This window comes from Homo sapiens, chromosome 11 (genome assembly GCF_000001405.40).
Source record: "Homo sapiens chromosome 11, GRCh38.p14 Primary Assembly".
NCBI classification, from domain to species: domain Eukaryota; kingdom Metazoa; phylum Chordata; class Mammalia; order Primates; family Hominidae; genus Homo; species Homo sapiens.
In genome coordinates, this window is record NC_000011.10 from 105,545,689 (window position 1) to 105,563,638 (window position 17,950).

Genomic DNA, 17,950 nt, shown 5'->3' on the forward strand with positions numbered 1-17,950 from the left:
AGTTTTTGTTTCTGAGGCAGCATTTATGGCCTTCTGATTTCTTTTAATTCAAAGCATTCAGCATGCCAACACTCTCAGGTGCTGTTCTCTGCACCCTAAAACTGCATTAACAAAATTATAGGACCATGGAATTGAAAGGGACCTCCAAATTCACCAAGTTCAACTCTTTATTGTTATTGAATCAGCATTGCAAATCCTTGCAATATTGAAGTCTGTTTGTTCAGCAATTGAAAAGTTGCCCAACTTAGTTAAATGTCCAAACTCAAGTTTGTTTTACACAAATATAAAGATAGATAGTAAAGAAGGAAGAAAAGAAAGAAGGAAATAAGGAAAAATGGCTGGTCTAATTTTTGGAGGTTTTTACTATCTATAAAATTCTTTCTTTGCTTTTTAAATGTATATAGAAAATCATAAATTTTATGGAAAACTGAGAGTCACATCTGGCAAGCTATTTTTGATTTACTGAGCTAGGAATAGCTGCAAAAACACTTCCTCTTACAGACTTGCATAATCAATCATTTGTTGCTTTCCCTTGCACATCAGCATTAGTTTTACATTACTAAGCTTTTCTTTCATCTTCCAGAATTAAAAGAGGTCACAAAGCAATTTAGTTCAATTTTAAATTTAATAAAATTAACAATATATTTATTGAGTGATAGTTCTTTGCTTGCCCTTTTCCAGATATAGTGTCAAAGACAAAGTCTTTAACCATCACAAGCTTCTACAGGTTTCTAATTTTATGAAAATTCTATTCTCCCCTCCAAAAAAGCAAGAAATGGAAGAGCACCAAAAATAGATATTCTAGAATTTGGGCTGAAAGAAGATGCTTATAAGAATTCAGAATTGGGAGCAAGTACTCAATAATAGTAGAAAGAGCTAGAGAAGGCTTTATGGAAGATGAACAGGTGAGCTGACTTAAAATTTGATAACCTTTGAATAATTCTTCACCATTTCTCAGGCAAAGAAAGATTTGAAGGTTGGCATGAACATGATTGTGTAGAGATCAGTGAAGGGGTAGCTTATACCTCACAGAAGCCTTGAATACCAAGTCCTTATATGCTATATCTACTCAGCAAGAATGTACGCCCTTTGATCATAAAGCCTAGAAAGATAAAAATTGTATAATGAAAAGATCATGAATTTTGCAGTCAGAACAATTTCATTCTCAATCTTGTCTTTGCAATAACCAGTGATACTATCTAAAAATTTACTTGTGTTCTCTGAGATTGGGTTTCTTTATTTATAACATTAGGAATTATCAACCCTTTCTCAGAGGGCTACAGTAAAGAGTTAAAGAGACTAATATTGTGTCCAACAAATAATAAGAGTCAAAATATGAAATTTCTTGGTGCCATGTATAACTTCTTCACATAATAAGAGCTTAATTTGTGTGGTATGGCTGACAGCATGATGATACTATGGGTATGTGACATCATTATATTTTTTCAAGCATGTTAGGTATATAAAACATGAGAATGAATTAGACTGCACAAAGGGAATATGTAGACAGAAAAATATATTAAGGATAGAAACACAGGAGCAAACATAATTGCAGAGTGAAAAGAGTTAGAGAATCCTAGCAAGACAGAGAACACATGGCCAGTGTATACCACTGACCATGTGTGAGAACAAACAGTAGAGTGTAGGAATGTTGATGGCTAGTGAGTGAAAAATGTCAATAAATAAAGAGTGTTCAATAGAGTGTAATGTGTCAGGGAAACCTGCAATTATTGAAACATTTTTATTGGATGGAGGCCATTGTTGAGCTTTACAAGAGCAGCTTCACCTGCAAGTTTCAGTGGAGAAATCAGACTGCAGGAGACAGGAACTAGAGCTGAGGAAGTGGAGGCAGTGAATTCCCACTGCTCTTCAAGATATTTTAACTAAAATTGAAGAGAGAGAAAGCAAGGTAATTAGAAAAAAAAAATGCTGTGTTAAAGTTGGAAGAAAGCCAGGAGGAAACAGAGGTGTAGATCAAAACAGGTCTCCGTGGTGTGGGCTGGGAATAAATGTTTAGAGGGAATGAAGTGAAAAAATGAATGGGGATATTTACGATCTGCAATAAATGAAGCAGTAGGAAGTGCATCTTCACCACCAATCACAGGAAACATGACAGCATTTTCTTAGATTAATCACTCTAAGGGAGGGATGTAGGAAGCAGAATAGGGAGAAAAAGAGTGCTGCAGCTTGTTTTCTTTGCTGGAATAAATATCAGCAAAAATAATGTATTATAAATCGATATTAGTTATGAATAAAAACTCTATTAAATATCATTTAGTGCCTGCCTAGTTTCCACAGCAAAAAAAAATCAAGAAATAGGGAGAAGGGGAAACAGTTAAGCTTTAAATGGACACACTAAATAAAAAAAAAGTTTTCAATATATATTTTCTTCTCTACTCATCTCAGGTTATAAAACGAACAACCTTGTCATCCAGGGAAGAACTATGATAGTGTTGCTTTGAGAAAAATAAAAGTTCATGTACAATGCCCATCAAGTGATATATTATCTGAGAGAAGTTAGAAAAAGCCATGAAACATACGAGAGAGTATTCTGTCATCTAAGTACTAAACCATACACACACAAACACCCCCGAAATGAAATAAGACCAAAGTAAAATAGGCAACATATTTGTAATTTCTGTTACATAAAATGTGAAACAAAATTTCTCATTATTCATTTCTGTTAAATATCTAACTTCCTCTTTTTCATGAGCAACTTTGACATTGGACCTCAGAAAACATTCCACTTTGTCTTATTACAGTCTGTTTACCCATTTGCTAACTTTTATTCAAATTTATTCACTTCCTGACTTATCGTGTTTTGCATTATGTTGATGTTCACTTGGAAATAGTTGTTTTCCTAGATTCTAATGATGTCTATGCCAGCAGCTGCAAGCTGAGAACACAGCGAATGTGTATGCACAGTACAAAATTCTTCCAATTAGGACTGCTGCTTAATTGGCAAGATTGCTGTCAAGTAGCATGACCACTGCATTACATTTGAATCTGAATTTCGTGTAAATGTAGATATTTAGGAGCTTATTAGAGAATTTGCATGGAAATTGAAGGAGAAAATAGTTCATGTGTTTGGGGGAAACAAATCTAACTCGATTTTAACATTAGTATTTCCTTAAACTACTTAAGCAGTATAGCAAACTAGTTACATGTGTCAGCTCTGGAGTTAGATGTTGCTAAGAATTCTAGCTACAACTCTTGGTGATCTCAGACAAAGTTTTTAACCCATCTGAGCCTCAGTTGTTATACATGTAAAATGGAGATAATTAAAGCCTCTATATCTTATGATTGTTTAAACTTGAATTAAATCATATATGTCAATCACATGGCATAGTGTCTGTCAGTAAGTTCTCAATGACTTGTAGCTACTATTTAGTCAAAGACATATTACAGAAAGTGTTACAGGTTTCTTAATTCAATGCTATACATTATAGACTCAATAAATAGTATTATTGTTTAAATTCCTTTCTGTTGAATTTTATTTCAATAGATTTTGGACACTGGCTTGAAATAAAAATATTTATTTTTAAATTTACATGCACATATTTTGTGCCTTGCTTCAGAATTCCTCTATTCCCTCAGCAGATGTAACTTCAATTTTCTCTCCTCCCTTCCATACTGACTCCTGTTTGGTCTGTAGGGGCAGAAAAGGTATAATACTTTTCTTCACTCATCATAAAGGTCATGGCTGACACTCCAATAACAGAAGATAGGTTAAGAAGAAAAAAGCAGAAGACATTTATTGAATGAAAGTTTTATGTTGTGTGGGAGTATTCAGAAATGAAGACCCAAAGACTCAGGAAAAACTGTCTATTTTTATGCTTAAATTTGATGAAAAATGGGCAGCCATGTAAAAATGTGACTGGATTAAAAAAGCATTATTTCATGGTAAGAGACTGAGTGAGGAAATATAGCAAGACCTGTCTGTGTTGATTCTTTCTTGGTCTGTCTCTGTGGCATCACTTCTTCCTAGATATAGGGCAGTAGATCTTCTGGACTGAGGATCTTATGTCCTACCACTAGACGAGGAAGGTCAGAGAATTCCTTTATGGCCAGCTCCTACATGGAAAGGTGGGGGAAGGTTACAGTAATATTTCTAGGATTAAGACTTGCCTTGGGATAGAGGTATTCCAGTTTATATGGTTTGCATTGAGGGAAGAGGAGGAGCAAAAGAAAGAAGAGCAGGAGAAGTTTTGAAGGATACCTTGCTTCTGAGGCCCTTCCAATATCCTTCAGTTCAAAGAATGCCCAAGTGTCATAATTTCAGGTATGATTTTTTGAGCCCCAACAGGCCCTCTGTGGATGTGATTGGGCTGATGGTGGTCAGGGCTTTCAAACATAAGAATGTCCACACCCTTTTCTCATACAGTGGAAAATGAGTTTTTCTCATTAATGATGAAGAACGATCAGCTGCCACAAAATGTTCGGATTCTACTTTATCAGACTAATCAAGCAGTTAGTGCCTAAACTGATACTTCTTCCCTTACTAGAAGTTCAGATTAGCTAATCACCTCGTAAACAATTGTCAGACTTTATACCAGTCATCATCTTTCTCATCTAGCTGTTCAGACTTGGTCAACAGTGGGGACCATGTTATCCCTTGGAATTTATAGTGACTGTGTTACCCCTTGAAATTTCTAGTGACCACGGACTCAATACTTAGACATTTACCATCTTAGCTATCTTCCATATCTGTCTCTAAGAACCCCCCAGCCCCACTGCCATCACCACTATCACACACTGCTATCACCCTCACCAGGGCAAGAGATAAAATGCAGAAATTGAAGTTCCCTAAAATGAAGATTTGCTTATCCATAAATGGTATAAAAATTTACATTGTTTTCAGATACAGATTCTATCTAAGCCATATAGTAAGACCAGACACCACAAGTTAATTCAAAATTTCTCAGGGAGTGTACAAGAAAATTTCTTTCATATCTCATCAGCCTGGGACCATTCCCTCCACCAAAACTGGTGCTGAGTTTTAAAGAAATTAGGAAGACTGAAATATCATCTTCTATATCCACCGAAGAACCTACTTGCTACCTGATTCTAATAAAAAGAGTAGATGTTCATCATGTCACTTAATTCCAAGATCTTTCTGTTTTCCTTAGGTATTTACTGAGCCTATCTTATCTAAAAATAGGAAGAGATTTCGATAAAGATAAAAACTGTATGTTAATAAAAAGAAAGGAGATAGCAAGCAGATCCCAAAGATCCAAGTGTAACCAACCAATAGGTTATCTTTGCCTGCTGCCTAGAGAGAACTGATTTATCAAGACAGGGAATTGCAATGAAGAATTTAATTGACTCAGAGCCAGCTGTATGGGAGACTGGAGTTCTATTATTACTCAAATCAGCCCCCCTGGATGAGGACTGGGATTTTAAATAATAATTTGGTGAACAGAGGTTCAGGAAGTAGGGACTGTTGATTTGTTGGGTGAGAGATTAAATTATAGAGAATCAAAACTTTCCTCTTCCACGGAGTCAGTTCCTGGGTGGGGGGTCACAAGACCAGATGAGTCAGTTTATTGATCTGGGTGGTGCCAGCTGATCCATCAAATGCAGGGTATGAAAACCATCTCAAGCACCAATCTTAGATTTTACAATAGTGATGTTATCCATAGAAGGAATTGGGGAGATTTTAGAATCTTGTGACCTTGATCTAGCTGCATGGCTCCTAAACCGTAATTTCGAATCTTGTGGCTAATTTGTTAGTCCTGCAAAGGCAATCTAGTCTCCAGGCAAGGAGAGGGTTTGTTTTGGGAAAAGACTGTTATCATCTTTGTTTCAAAGTTAAACTATTAACTAAGTTCCTCCCAACGTTATTTCAGCCTATGCCCAGGAATGGACAAGGACAGCTTGGAAGTTAGAAGCAAGATGGCATTGGTTGGGTTAGCTTAGTTTCACAAGTGCCTCTTAAATACTCAGGGGATAGGGTTTGCTGAATGGAAGGGCTGTTGAGGGATAATTGCATTTTTGTTTTTTTTTTGGGTTTTTTTTTTTTTGTCAACTAGTGTTTACCAAGCCTCTCTGTACTTAGCTTCAGAAATCTAAGAACATTATTTTCTCTATAAAACTCAATGCCAGAGAAGAATTGAGGGAAAAGATTGGGTGGAAAAGACAAATATTGGACTTGGATTCTAAAAACACTGCAGGTGGTGGCTATGGTTATGAGATTGATATATAGATACAATTATAGATAGATGGCAGACAGATAATAGATAGATAATAGGTAATTATGTCTAACATTTGAAACCTTTTCCTTTGTGTGTGATTTTAAATGGATTATGTTAATTTTCAAAACATATATTTGCATTTCAGTGTAATTCCTATCATTTTCCCAGGGAAAAATAACATTAAAGGAAATTTAAAATATTTTACCTTAAAATATACTTTTTGCCATATTTTCAGATGGCTACTCAGAGAGGCTACAGACAAGAATAGTCCTGTAAAGTTGTCTTACATGGAGGAGAGTTGCATCTGTAGAGAAAATATGCACGAATGAAATAAACAGGCTGGGCGCGGTGGCTCACGCCTGTAATCCCAGCACCTTGGGCGGCTGAGGCGGGCGGATCACAAGGTCCGGAGATCAAGACCATCCTGGCTAACACCGTGAAAACCCGTCTCTACTGAAAATACAAAAAATTAGCCGGGCGTGGTGGCGGGCGCCTGTAGTCCCAGCTACTTGGGAGGCTGGGGCAGGAGAACGGCATGAACCCGGGAGGCGGAGCTTGCGGTGAGCCGAGATTGCGCCACTGCACTCCAGCCTGGGTGACAGAGCGAGACTCTGTCAAAAAAATAAAATAAAATAAAATAAATAAATAAACAGCCAGGCTTTCTCTGAGGCTCTCCCCTCTTGTCCAAATCTAGGAAAGACTAAAAGAGGGTTTGACATCTTTAAAGTTCTGACAGAGAAACGTTTGCCACAGGATAGGGTTTCTTTCTGAAAGCGGCTACCTGTGAAATTTCATCTGCATAAAAAGAGCACCTTTGCTCCATGCTTTTCTTCCTCTTCTCTACTTCTACTAACCTTTTGTCAATTGAAGAATTGCAAGGTTCATAAATTTGGAAAGGAGAGCATTATTTTTCATAAAGCATTGAAGTCTGTAAGGTGGCCACTCTGACAGGCTGGGAGGCGTACATAGCCTTTGGCGCTGTTGAAAGCAAGCACTTAAGGAATGGTTGAAGGAAACAGAAATTTATGCTTAGACAAGCAGGGTAGGTGGCTGAAGGTATGTATTTAATAAGCCATAGGAGTCATGAAAATTTACTAAAGGCGAAACATGTGTATGCACAATGGAGCTTCATGCCCCTTCATGGGTGGCATGTTCAAAAAATGGTGGTGTTAGCATGATTCGAGGTTGGAGTCTCTAATATCAAAAGGTGGAACAAAGGACATGAAAACCCTTACTGCGCATCCTCCATAGACTGGCCAGAACCACTCCCAGGTTGATGGTCTGTTATCAGGAAGGAATGTTGGTCAGCTGCTATGTCTGGACAACAAACCAGAGGAGGAGTCCAGTTGTGGCCCCAGATGATTGGCTCAAGGCAACGAAGGAATGAGTCATCTGTTACTTGTTTCCAGAGCTGGTTTCTTCTGTTTACTCCTTAAGAAAGAAATTTGGTTAAAGGTTAATAAGGGGCATATTGAGGCATGTCAAACCTCTCATCCCATCATGGCCAGGGACTCAGTTTCGAAAGTTTTTCTGGGATCCCCTTGAACAAGTGAGGGGTCCATTCAGTTGTCTGGAGAGGCTTAGTTTTTGATTTTTATTTCTCACTGTCTTGTCCCGATAACCTCTTTTGCCATGCTCCAAACCCTACTATTTACACTAACCTTAAGATGGTGTGAAAGCGTCAACACTCTGGCCCCCTTTTTTTGAGTTTTTATATTTTGTATGACTCCCAGGCACACATGTGCATGTTAATAAACTTGTTTACCTTATGTTCCTTTTAATCTCTCTATTATCAGTTTGTGTTATAAACTCAAGTTATCAAACCTTCAGAGAAAAACTTAAACTTCCCTACAATACTATTGATAAACAAACCTGAAAACCGTTTAGTCAACAATAAACCTGAATGCTTCAAACCTTCAGCAACATTCTTACAACTGTCAGCAGATGACATGATGATTCATGGGTGCAAAATTCAATCTTTTAGAGGATACCCCAGAATTCCATGTGATACTCTAACATGATTCTGAATTTATTATATGTGTAACTAGCATTTGAAATAAATGTTATTCTTAAGGTAATTTTGATGATTTTCATTGTTTCTTAATTTTATCATATAAAATCTTAATACACCTAATATACATAAAAAATAAACCTCATTTGGCTGGGCATGGTGGCTCATGCCTGTAATCCCAGCACTTTGGGAGGCCAAGGCTAGCGGATCATGAGGTCAAGAGATCGAGACCATTCTGGCTAACACAGTGAAACCCTGTCTCTACTAAAAAATACCTACAAAAAATTAGCCAAGTGTGGTGGTGGACACCTGTAGTCCCAGCGACTCGGGAGGCTGAGGCAGGAGAATGGTGTGAACCCGGGAGGCAGAGCTTGCAGTGAGCCGAGATCATGCCACTGCACTCCAGCCTGGGCAACAGAGAAAGACTCTGTCTCCAAAAAAATAATAATAATAAAACATTAAAAAAACGCATTTTCTTGCCACAAAATTGGTTAAGATTTATTCCCCAAATAAAATTCTTTCTTTTGAGCAAAAACTTCAGAGAACTTCTAAAGTTCACCCTGTTAGATAGCTACCACAAACCCATGTTTTCCCTTCTTTCTAAAAGTGTCTAGATTTTATTCTGTTATTTGATTTTTTTTCCACATGATTAAGGAGGAAAGGATTCCAGTGAGAAGAACAGACAGTGGATCATGATGAGCCTAGGACAGTTACAGAGATTCCACTCTATTTTGCAGTGTAGTAGAGGAAAAACTAATTTTCCCTCTGCCTTTCACAGTTCCTTGGTAGGACTGACCCTTGTAGCAATACATAAATTAACAAGAGAAAAACAAACAGAAGCTTAATAAGATGTATGCCTCCTATATAATTGGGAGATACTCAGAGAAATGACTAAATCTCAAAGAAATAGTTCAGGCTGAAATACAATGTTCAACTGAAACAGAAAGAAGTGTGTGAGGAAGCACACTAATGGGAAAGTGATCAGGAGAAGTAAACAAGAGCAAGGTTTGGTGCCTGCTTCATTGATAGAAGTCTCTAATGGTTTAGAGTCATCCTTTTCTTCCTGGTACAGAAACCTGAGACACCCTTACAAATTTTTTTTTAATAGATGTACATTTTCCTAATGAGGTAACTTCTACTCTCTTACAGTTTCTCCTATGTCTGCAGTTTCTCAAAATAATCAGCTCGAAATGATCTTTATGCCAAAGTGACATATTTTGGGGTGGCATATTTGGGTTTCCTACAGCCCTACATTGGGTGGCGTATTTTTAGTCTCCTACAGCAGTAATTGTTTAAGGTTGGGTATGTGATTCGGACCAATGAAACATCAGGACAAATCTAAAGGGGGAGTGCTAAGAAGAATCCCTCACTCCTAATAAAGAGTTAAAGAGACAAGTCTGCCTTGTACTTTGGGTATTATTCTATGCAGATGTGACATCTGCAATTGCTGAGAACAACTAAAGTATCACAGTATGTTGTGATACTGTGATTTATAATGGGAAATATATATTTGATTCTTTTACTCCTTCCTGGCCAAAGCTCCTAAACTCCTCGGAATTTCCTAAATTATGGGGGTGATAAATGTAAGAGGAGTGTTTTTTGTTATTCATAAAATGTTTACCTGAGTTTATGTAAATGAGATGAGTTTTGGAAAGCCCTAGATAAACACAGGATGGAGACTGCTCATCGCCAAGGGAACCAACCATGTGACTAGAGGGTTAGAATTTTCCTTCCGACTCCCCAGCCTCTGGGGAATGTAGAGGAGCTACAGATTAATCACCAACAACCAATGATATAGTCAATCATGTCCATGTAATTAAGCCACCATAATAACACAAAAGGACAGGATTCTGAGAACTTCCAGGTTGGTGAATGCACAGAGGTGCTGGGCATGGGGTGCACTCAAAGTGAATGGAAGCTCTCAGCCTCTTCCCACCTACCTTGCCCTATGCATCTCTTCTGTTTGACTGTTTATGAGTTCTATCCTTTTATAATAAACTGGTAATATAAGAAGTAAATGGTTTTCCTGAGATCTATGAGCAGTTCTTACAAATGATCAAACGCAAGGTGGGGGTTGTGTAAACCCCCAGTTTATAGCTAATTGGTTAGAAATACAGGTGACAACCTGGACTTGTGATTGGCATCTGAAATGGGGAGGTGGGGGTGTCAGTATTGTACAATTGAGCCCTTAACCTGTGAAGTCTAAAATAGCTCTCGGTAAATAGTATCAGAATTTAATTGAATTGTGTAACACTGCTTATTGTTTAAAGAGAATTGGAGAATTGTTTGGTGTGGGGAAAACTCCCACACATTTGGTGTCAGAAGTGTTGTGTGTATAAAGAATAAAATAGTTTGTTTTTCCTAAACACCCATACAGGATGATTGACCCCTGATATGCTAGAAGGGGAACCTGCCTAACCTCTACCCATTTCCTCACAAGATAATGCATTTCTGCATTGCTTAAATCAGTTTCAGATGGGCTTTTATCATATCTTAAAAATCCAGTTCTTTGACCTTTATAATTCAATGGAAAGGGGATCCAAATTGCAGACACTCAGGAGATTACATTTAGGTTAGCTGCAGCAGAAAACAAATTGGATGATGGAAGTGAATATTAGCTATAATTAGGATCTCAGAGCACTCTTGGCAAATTTACTAAAGCTAACATTTCTAAGTGTTTGTCATTTTGGTTTTAAGTTAAAAGTTGAGAAGCTTCAGGAATAGCTATATTTTTGTATGGGAATGATAATAAATTATTCATTTATTTCTATCCATTATAAGGTTCATTTTAGCCCAATTCTAGCAGAATAGGTTACATCAAAGATAAAATAAGATTTTTTATCTTTAAATGAAAGATTTGTCATTCAGATAGGATTTAGACAATCAGCTCTAAGCATTTACAAACTTATAGTCTGGTTGGGGGAGATACCAACATTTAACATAGTAATTAACAAAATGCCATCAGATAATAATGATGCAAAGATGTGTCAATGACTACAATGCTATTGTAACCACCCAGCAGGTTCATCTTGTCTGCTTCTCAGATAAAGCCAATTGATCAAAGTCAAGGGAATTGCAATACAGAGAGTATCTAATCCATATAGAGACGGCTAAACAGGAGACCAGAGTTATTCCTACTTAAATCACCCTCCCTGAAAATTCAGAGGCTAGAGTTTTTTAAAGATAACTAGTTGGTGGACAGCAGGCTAGGGAATGGAGTGTGCTGATTGGTCAGGTCTGAGATGAAATCATAGAGGGTTGAAGCGGGTCTTCTTGCTGTCTTGCTTCTTGCTGTTCCTCGGTGGGATCGCAGAACTAGTTGAGCCAGATTATCAGAATACGGGGTCTTAAAAATATCCCAAACACCAATTTTAGGTTTTGTAATAGTAATATTACCCATAGAGCAATTGAGGAGGTTGGGAATCTTGAGGCATCTAGCTGTATGACTCCTAAACCATGATTTCTAATCTGGTTGCTAATTTGTTAGTTTTACAAAGGTGGTCTTGTTCCCATGCCAGGAAAGAGTTTGTTTCAGGAAAGGCAGTTATCTTGTTTGTTTCAAAGTTAAACTGTAAAGTAAACTCCTCGTAGAGTTAGCTTGGCCTATGCCCGGGAATGAACATGGGCAGTTTGGAGATTAAAGGCTAGATGGAGTTGGTTTTGTCAGATCTCTTTCACTGTTAACATTTTCTCACTGTTATAATTTTTGCAAAGGCAGTTTCACTATGGGAACACAGGGGTTTCAATGAAAGATGCAGATGTCTCTGAAATTATCCTGTAGGGGGTGGATATTAGATTACAGTGAAAACGTGATTATAAGTTATAATAAATGATATGAAGGTGAAAAATTCATAACACTGTGATGCGAAATATCACATGCTGAGGGAATGCTCCTTGCCAGTTTCTGCAAATGAAATCAATATTCTACCGGTTGATAGACTGGGAATCATGTCTCTCTTTTTAAAGTTTTCTGCAGTATGTCTACTGAGTTATGTCAGTTATTCCACCATGTTCTTTCATGCCTTCATCTTTTTTCCCACTGTGCTACAGAAAGCTTCCTAGTGAGACTTGCCACTTTCAGTCTGCATGGATTTCTGTTCTACCTCTGGTCACCCTCAATACGATATTTTCAAAATACTGATTTTTAACATATTTCTTTCCTTCCCAAAATTTTCTGTGAATCTCTACTACCTGAAGAGAAGGATAGGAGGAAAAACATTATTCTATTATAAGATCTTACAGTCTGGTAGGAAAGTACAAAAAAATCCACAAACATAAATACTATTAGGGTTCAAAAACAATGCCCCAAAATGAAGTCCTCCAAAGCAGCCTTAGAAGTAAAAGTTTTCTCTCATCTTCTCCTGTCCTCCCATCTCTCAGTCCCATTGACCCCCAAAGCTAGCCCTCCAAGCTAGAATCCCTCTTCCCCAGAGAGAGTTGTAGAAACCAGTACCTCTTTTCCCAAAAGCCAACATAAAACCTAAAAATATAACTTTTCCCCTGCCTTTCTGTGTAAAAACTGGCCATAAAGAAATTATCTGACCTACCTGTTTGACTGCCGGTCATAAAACCCTCAGTCCAGAGAGGGTTCTTCCCCATATATGAAAGTAATGCATGCTCAGAGAAGCTGAAAAGAATCTAAACAGACTCAATTTATTAGTCTATTAACATTAAATCATACTCTTTTTGTCCAGTCATATTTCAACACAACTGTCCATACTTTGTTGAATATAATTATAAAAGTGGGCAATTTTCCCTGTATCTTTGGGTCTTCATCCTGAAGGCTTTCATGTATACACATTAAATAAATTTATGTGCCTTTTCTCTTATTAATCTGTCTTTTTCAATTTCATTTTCAGAGAATCAGAATCTTCAGAGGGCCAAGAGGAAAGTTCTCCCTTGGTTTCTACAGTACAATAAATTATTAAAAAATCTTTCCTTTTGGGATTGTTTGTTTTTGAGACAGGGTCTTACTCTGTCGCCCAGGCTCCCACCTTAGCCTCCCAAGTAGCTGGGACTACAAGTAAAACCTACCACACCTGGGTATTTTTTTGTGTAAATGGGGTTTCCTCATGTTGCCTACTCTGTTGTTGAACTCCTGGACTAAAGCAATCCTCCCGCCTTGGTCTCCCAAAGCGCTGGGATTACAGACATAAGCCACCACACCTGGCCTTTTTAAAGGATCTTTGATAGAAGTTTATTTCTAGTAGAGACTAGCTTTGTGACTGACCAATACAAACTCTTCATCTAGACAGTGCTACCCATTAGCCCTCTTCACTCAAAAAATTTTGTATTTTTTAATCGCACCTTTTAAACAGGACAGTCTTCCTGTATGGAAAATTTACTCTATCCAATTTGTTTATTAACCTAAAATATTCTTCAAAGACTATTTAGAGTTTAGCTTTCTTCTAATTTCATAGCCTCTTATAACATTCTTAAAATGGATTCAACATGGCACTCTAATTCTATTCCCTGTGCTAGAGAGAATTGTACTTTATATAGAAAAGTTTGTTGGCCCAGCGCGGTGGCTCACGCCTATAATCCCAGCACTTTGGGAGGCCGAGGCGGGCGGATTACTAGGTCAGGAGATCGAGACCATCCTGGCTAACATGGTGAAACCCCGTCTCTACTAAAAATACAAAAACAAAATTAGCCAGACGTGGTGGTGGGCGCCTATAGTCCCAGCTACTTGGGAGGCTGAGGCAGGAGAATGGCATGAACCCGGGAGGCAGAGCTTGCAGTGAGCCGAGATCGCGCCACTGCACTCCAGCCTGGGTGTCAGGGAGAGACTCCGTCTCAAAAAAAAAAAAAAAAAAAAAAAAAAAAAGAACAGTTTGTTGTATTTATAAGTGTTTGAATTGTCAGCAAAGACTTTCTTAAATGGAAGTAAAATTTACTTCTATCAGTTTAAGTTAAATCTAATAAATGCACATTAAATAAAATAATTGTTTCTTGCAATAAACAATCATCTAAATATCTCAAAACTTTATGACTCGTCTGTATTTTCTCTCTTCTAGGCCAGCTATCAATAATGGATTTATTTGTTTCTTAAATGGCATTCATTTAGAAACTTCACTATTTTATTTTTCTTACTACAGGATTTTGTTATAGGATTGTTAATACTTCTCCTAAAATAAAAATAATGCCAGGACTTCTGCTTTGGCTGTGGAAGATGAGCTTGTATTGGCAGATTGTTTCTAAAGACGACAACTAGAAAAACTGAATAAAATATTTTCTATATCACTGTTGCAAGAGTGTTGTGATCTACAAAGGCAAAGGACATATTGAAAAGTATCACAGCTCACGCCTGTAATCCCAGCACTTTGGGAGGCCGAGGCGGGCGGATCACGAGGTCAGGAGATCCAGACCATCCTGGCTAACGCGGTGAAATCCCGTCTCTACTAAAAATATAAAACAATTAGCTGGGCGTGGTGGCGGGCGCCTGTAGTCCCAGCTACTCCAGAGGCCATGGTGTGAACCTGGGAGGCGGAGCTTGCAGTGAGCCGAGATCGCGCCCCTGCACTCCAGCCTGGGCGACAGAGCAAGACTCCATCTCAAAAAAAAAAAAAGAAAAAAAAGAAAAGTATCACAAAGAGAAAAGTACATAAAGAGGTGAGCCAAAACTTCATCAAGGAAATTGTCACTGCTGAGTCTTAGCCAAGAAGCCCAAAGCTGAGGAGAAAATAAAGTAGGAGGGTTTCTAAGAAACCTAGAAGTTGTGCAGAGCATTAGGCAGTTGCATGGTGCTGAGGAGAAAAAGTGCAGTTCAAACTAGCCAAGGTCTTAGGAAAACCCCAGTCTTTCCACTGGAACCCAAGAAGGTCTATAAACAGCAGAAAACACAAAATTTAAAAAAGACCAACTTTCACAAAAACTGAAATGAATAACCTCAATAGAAGTATGTATTAATGTAATCTGGCCCTTCCTTGACTTTCAAAAAAATAAAGTAAAATAAAAATATAAATATGCTTTAAATAAATATAACATCAATGGGACTAAAATAACAGTAAAATAACTCTGTATTTTTATACCAAATGGCTGGAATTTAATTTTAAAAAATTACCAAGCCTACTAGAAGACCAAATGACTGAAAATATTTGAGAGAAAAGCTATAAAATATAAATTAACATGCAGAGTGTATTAAGCAATTCTTGCATTGCTGCCAAGAAATGCCAGAGACTGGGTAATTTATAAGAAAAGAGCTTTAAAGTGGCTCATGGTTTTGCAGGCTGTACCAGAAGCATACTACCAGCATCTGCTTCTGGGGAGGCCTCAGGAAGCTTACAGTCATTGAGAAAGGCTAAAGGGGACCAGGAATTTCCCATGGCAGAGCAGAGGCAAGAGAGATGGGGGTGGGCCAGGATGCCACACTTTACAACAACCAGATCTCCCAAGAATGAACTCACTCATCACCAAGCGGATGGACTAAGCCATTCATGAGAAATAAACCCCCATAATCCAAACACCTCCCACCAGGCCTCAACTCTAACACTGGAAATTATATTTCCACATGAGATTTGGAGAGAACTCACATCCAAACAATATCACAGGGGAATGAAAGATATTTCTGTATCTAGGAACAGATATTTAACAAATTTTGATAAATTCATTCAAGGAAATGCATAACAGAATGAAGAATTTAAACTCAGAAATGGAATCTACTTAAATATACTCAATTCAAAATTATAGAACTATAAAATTCAATAACTGAAATTGATGTTTCTGTAGATAGTTTTAACAGAACAACAAACACAAGATGAGGTAATTAAGTTGGCAAATAACAGAAAATATCTAGACTTAAGGCTAGAGGTTGGGGGAAGATAGATAATATAGAAAAGAGTGTAAAAAATATGAGATTTAGGAAAAGTCTCACATAGATTTAATTGAAGTCCCACAAGCAAAGGGCAGGAGAATGAAATTGAAGTATCATTTTCAAGTGTTATTAAGATTCTACAAATTCAAAGGAGAATAAATAGAAAGAAAATCACACCTATACACATCTTCAACCTTCTGAAAACCAAAGACAAAGAGAAAATCTGAAAAGTGTCTGGAACAAATGGACATGTGATCTTCAAAGGAGAAACAATGAGAATGAAACTTATTTCTCAATGAAATGATAGAATCCAGAAGATGATTGAATGGCATCATTAAAAAACTGAAAACAGCAACAATATAAACCCTTATCAATCTAGACTTGTCTGCCCAGTGAACATACCCAAAATAGAAATTAAAAAGTAAAGGTTTCCTTGTTCACATTTTAAAAACTGGGAAAATTTACCACCAATTGACCGAAACTACAAAAATACTCAAGGTAATACTCTGGGCAGAAGAAAAATAATCCCAAATGGAAGGATAGAAACACAAAAAGAAATATAATACAAAAGCAATGGTAACGTGGGTAAATTTAAAGGATAAATGACTATAAAGACAATGTTCTATATAGAAAATTTAAGTACAAAGTAAAAATGACACAAAACGCATAAGGTGAAATGGCACTAAAATATTGTAACATTACTGAATTGTCTGAGAAAAAGTAAAATTACCGAATTACATTAGTCTAAAATATATTTTAATTGCAAGAAGGTCTGCTAAATGAAAGCCGAAAGTATTTAAAATTAGCAAATGAATGTGGAAATGGCATGCAACAAAATATTTAATTAGTCACAATATGATAATAAGTAAAAAGAAACTAGAGTGAAGGACACTTCTGGAATGGTGAAGTGAAGACTTCTGTTAAACTCGTCCTCTGTAAAAGCAAGGAAAACATTTGGCAAATATTGCTAGAAATAACATTTTCAGAACCATAGAAATTAACCAAAGGCTGGCTGCCCTCTGAAGATCATTTATTCAGAAACAAAACTGAACTAAACAGAACAAAAAACTGTGCTAAACCTAAGTGAAAAGAGGATTGGTAGTATTTTATTTATTTTTCTTTTTGAGGCAGGGTCTCCATCTGTCACCTTGATTGTAGTGTAGTGGTGTGACCATGGTTCACTGCAACCTCAACCTCCCAGGCTCAAGCAATCCCACCAACTCAGCCTCTCAAGTAGCTGGGACCATAGGCACATGCCACCATGCCTAGGTCTTTTTGTTGTTGATGTTGTTGGGATGGGGTCTCACTATGTTGCCTGGGCTGGTCTCAAGCTCCTGGGTTCAAGTGACCCTTTCACCTCGGCATCCCAAAATGCTGGGATTACAGGAATGAGCCACCATGCCTGGCCTTGGTAGTATTATTAATTTGATGTACTCCTATCTTCCTCTCCCAGGCCTGTGGTAACTTGGAAAGACAGCAGACTAACAATTGCAGTAGTTGTGAACAACTGCAGCCTTGCAGCTAAAGGAAGGAATAGTCTGCATGAGGAGGTCTTCAGAAAGTCCCATCCTAGAGCGTTGTCAGTATTTCATACCAATTTCTGGTCCCTGAGAAAGGCCCATTCACAGGGTGTTGTTTTTATCTGGCCTGACTCAGTTTGTTCCACCAAAAAAAAAAAAGCCCTATCACCAGGCATGTATTGAAAAAAATCAGCAGCAATTATGTAACATTGCAGCTGACTGAGACTATGATACCAGTCGAAGCAATAAGAGAGCCCCTAAAAGGAAGATTTGAGGAACGTGGTAACCATGGGGGCTTTGCAAAGTTCTGACATATTTCTGGGGACTTAGCAGATTGTGCACATGTGCAGGGCTTTGTGCAGGCCCGGAAAAATCCAAAATGCACTCCAGCCTCTCTCCATTGTCTGACCTG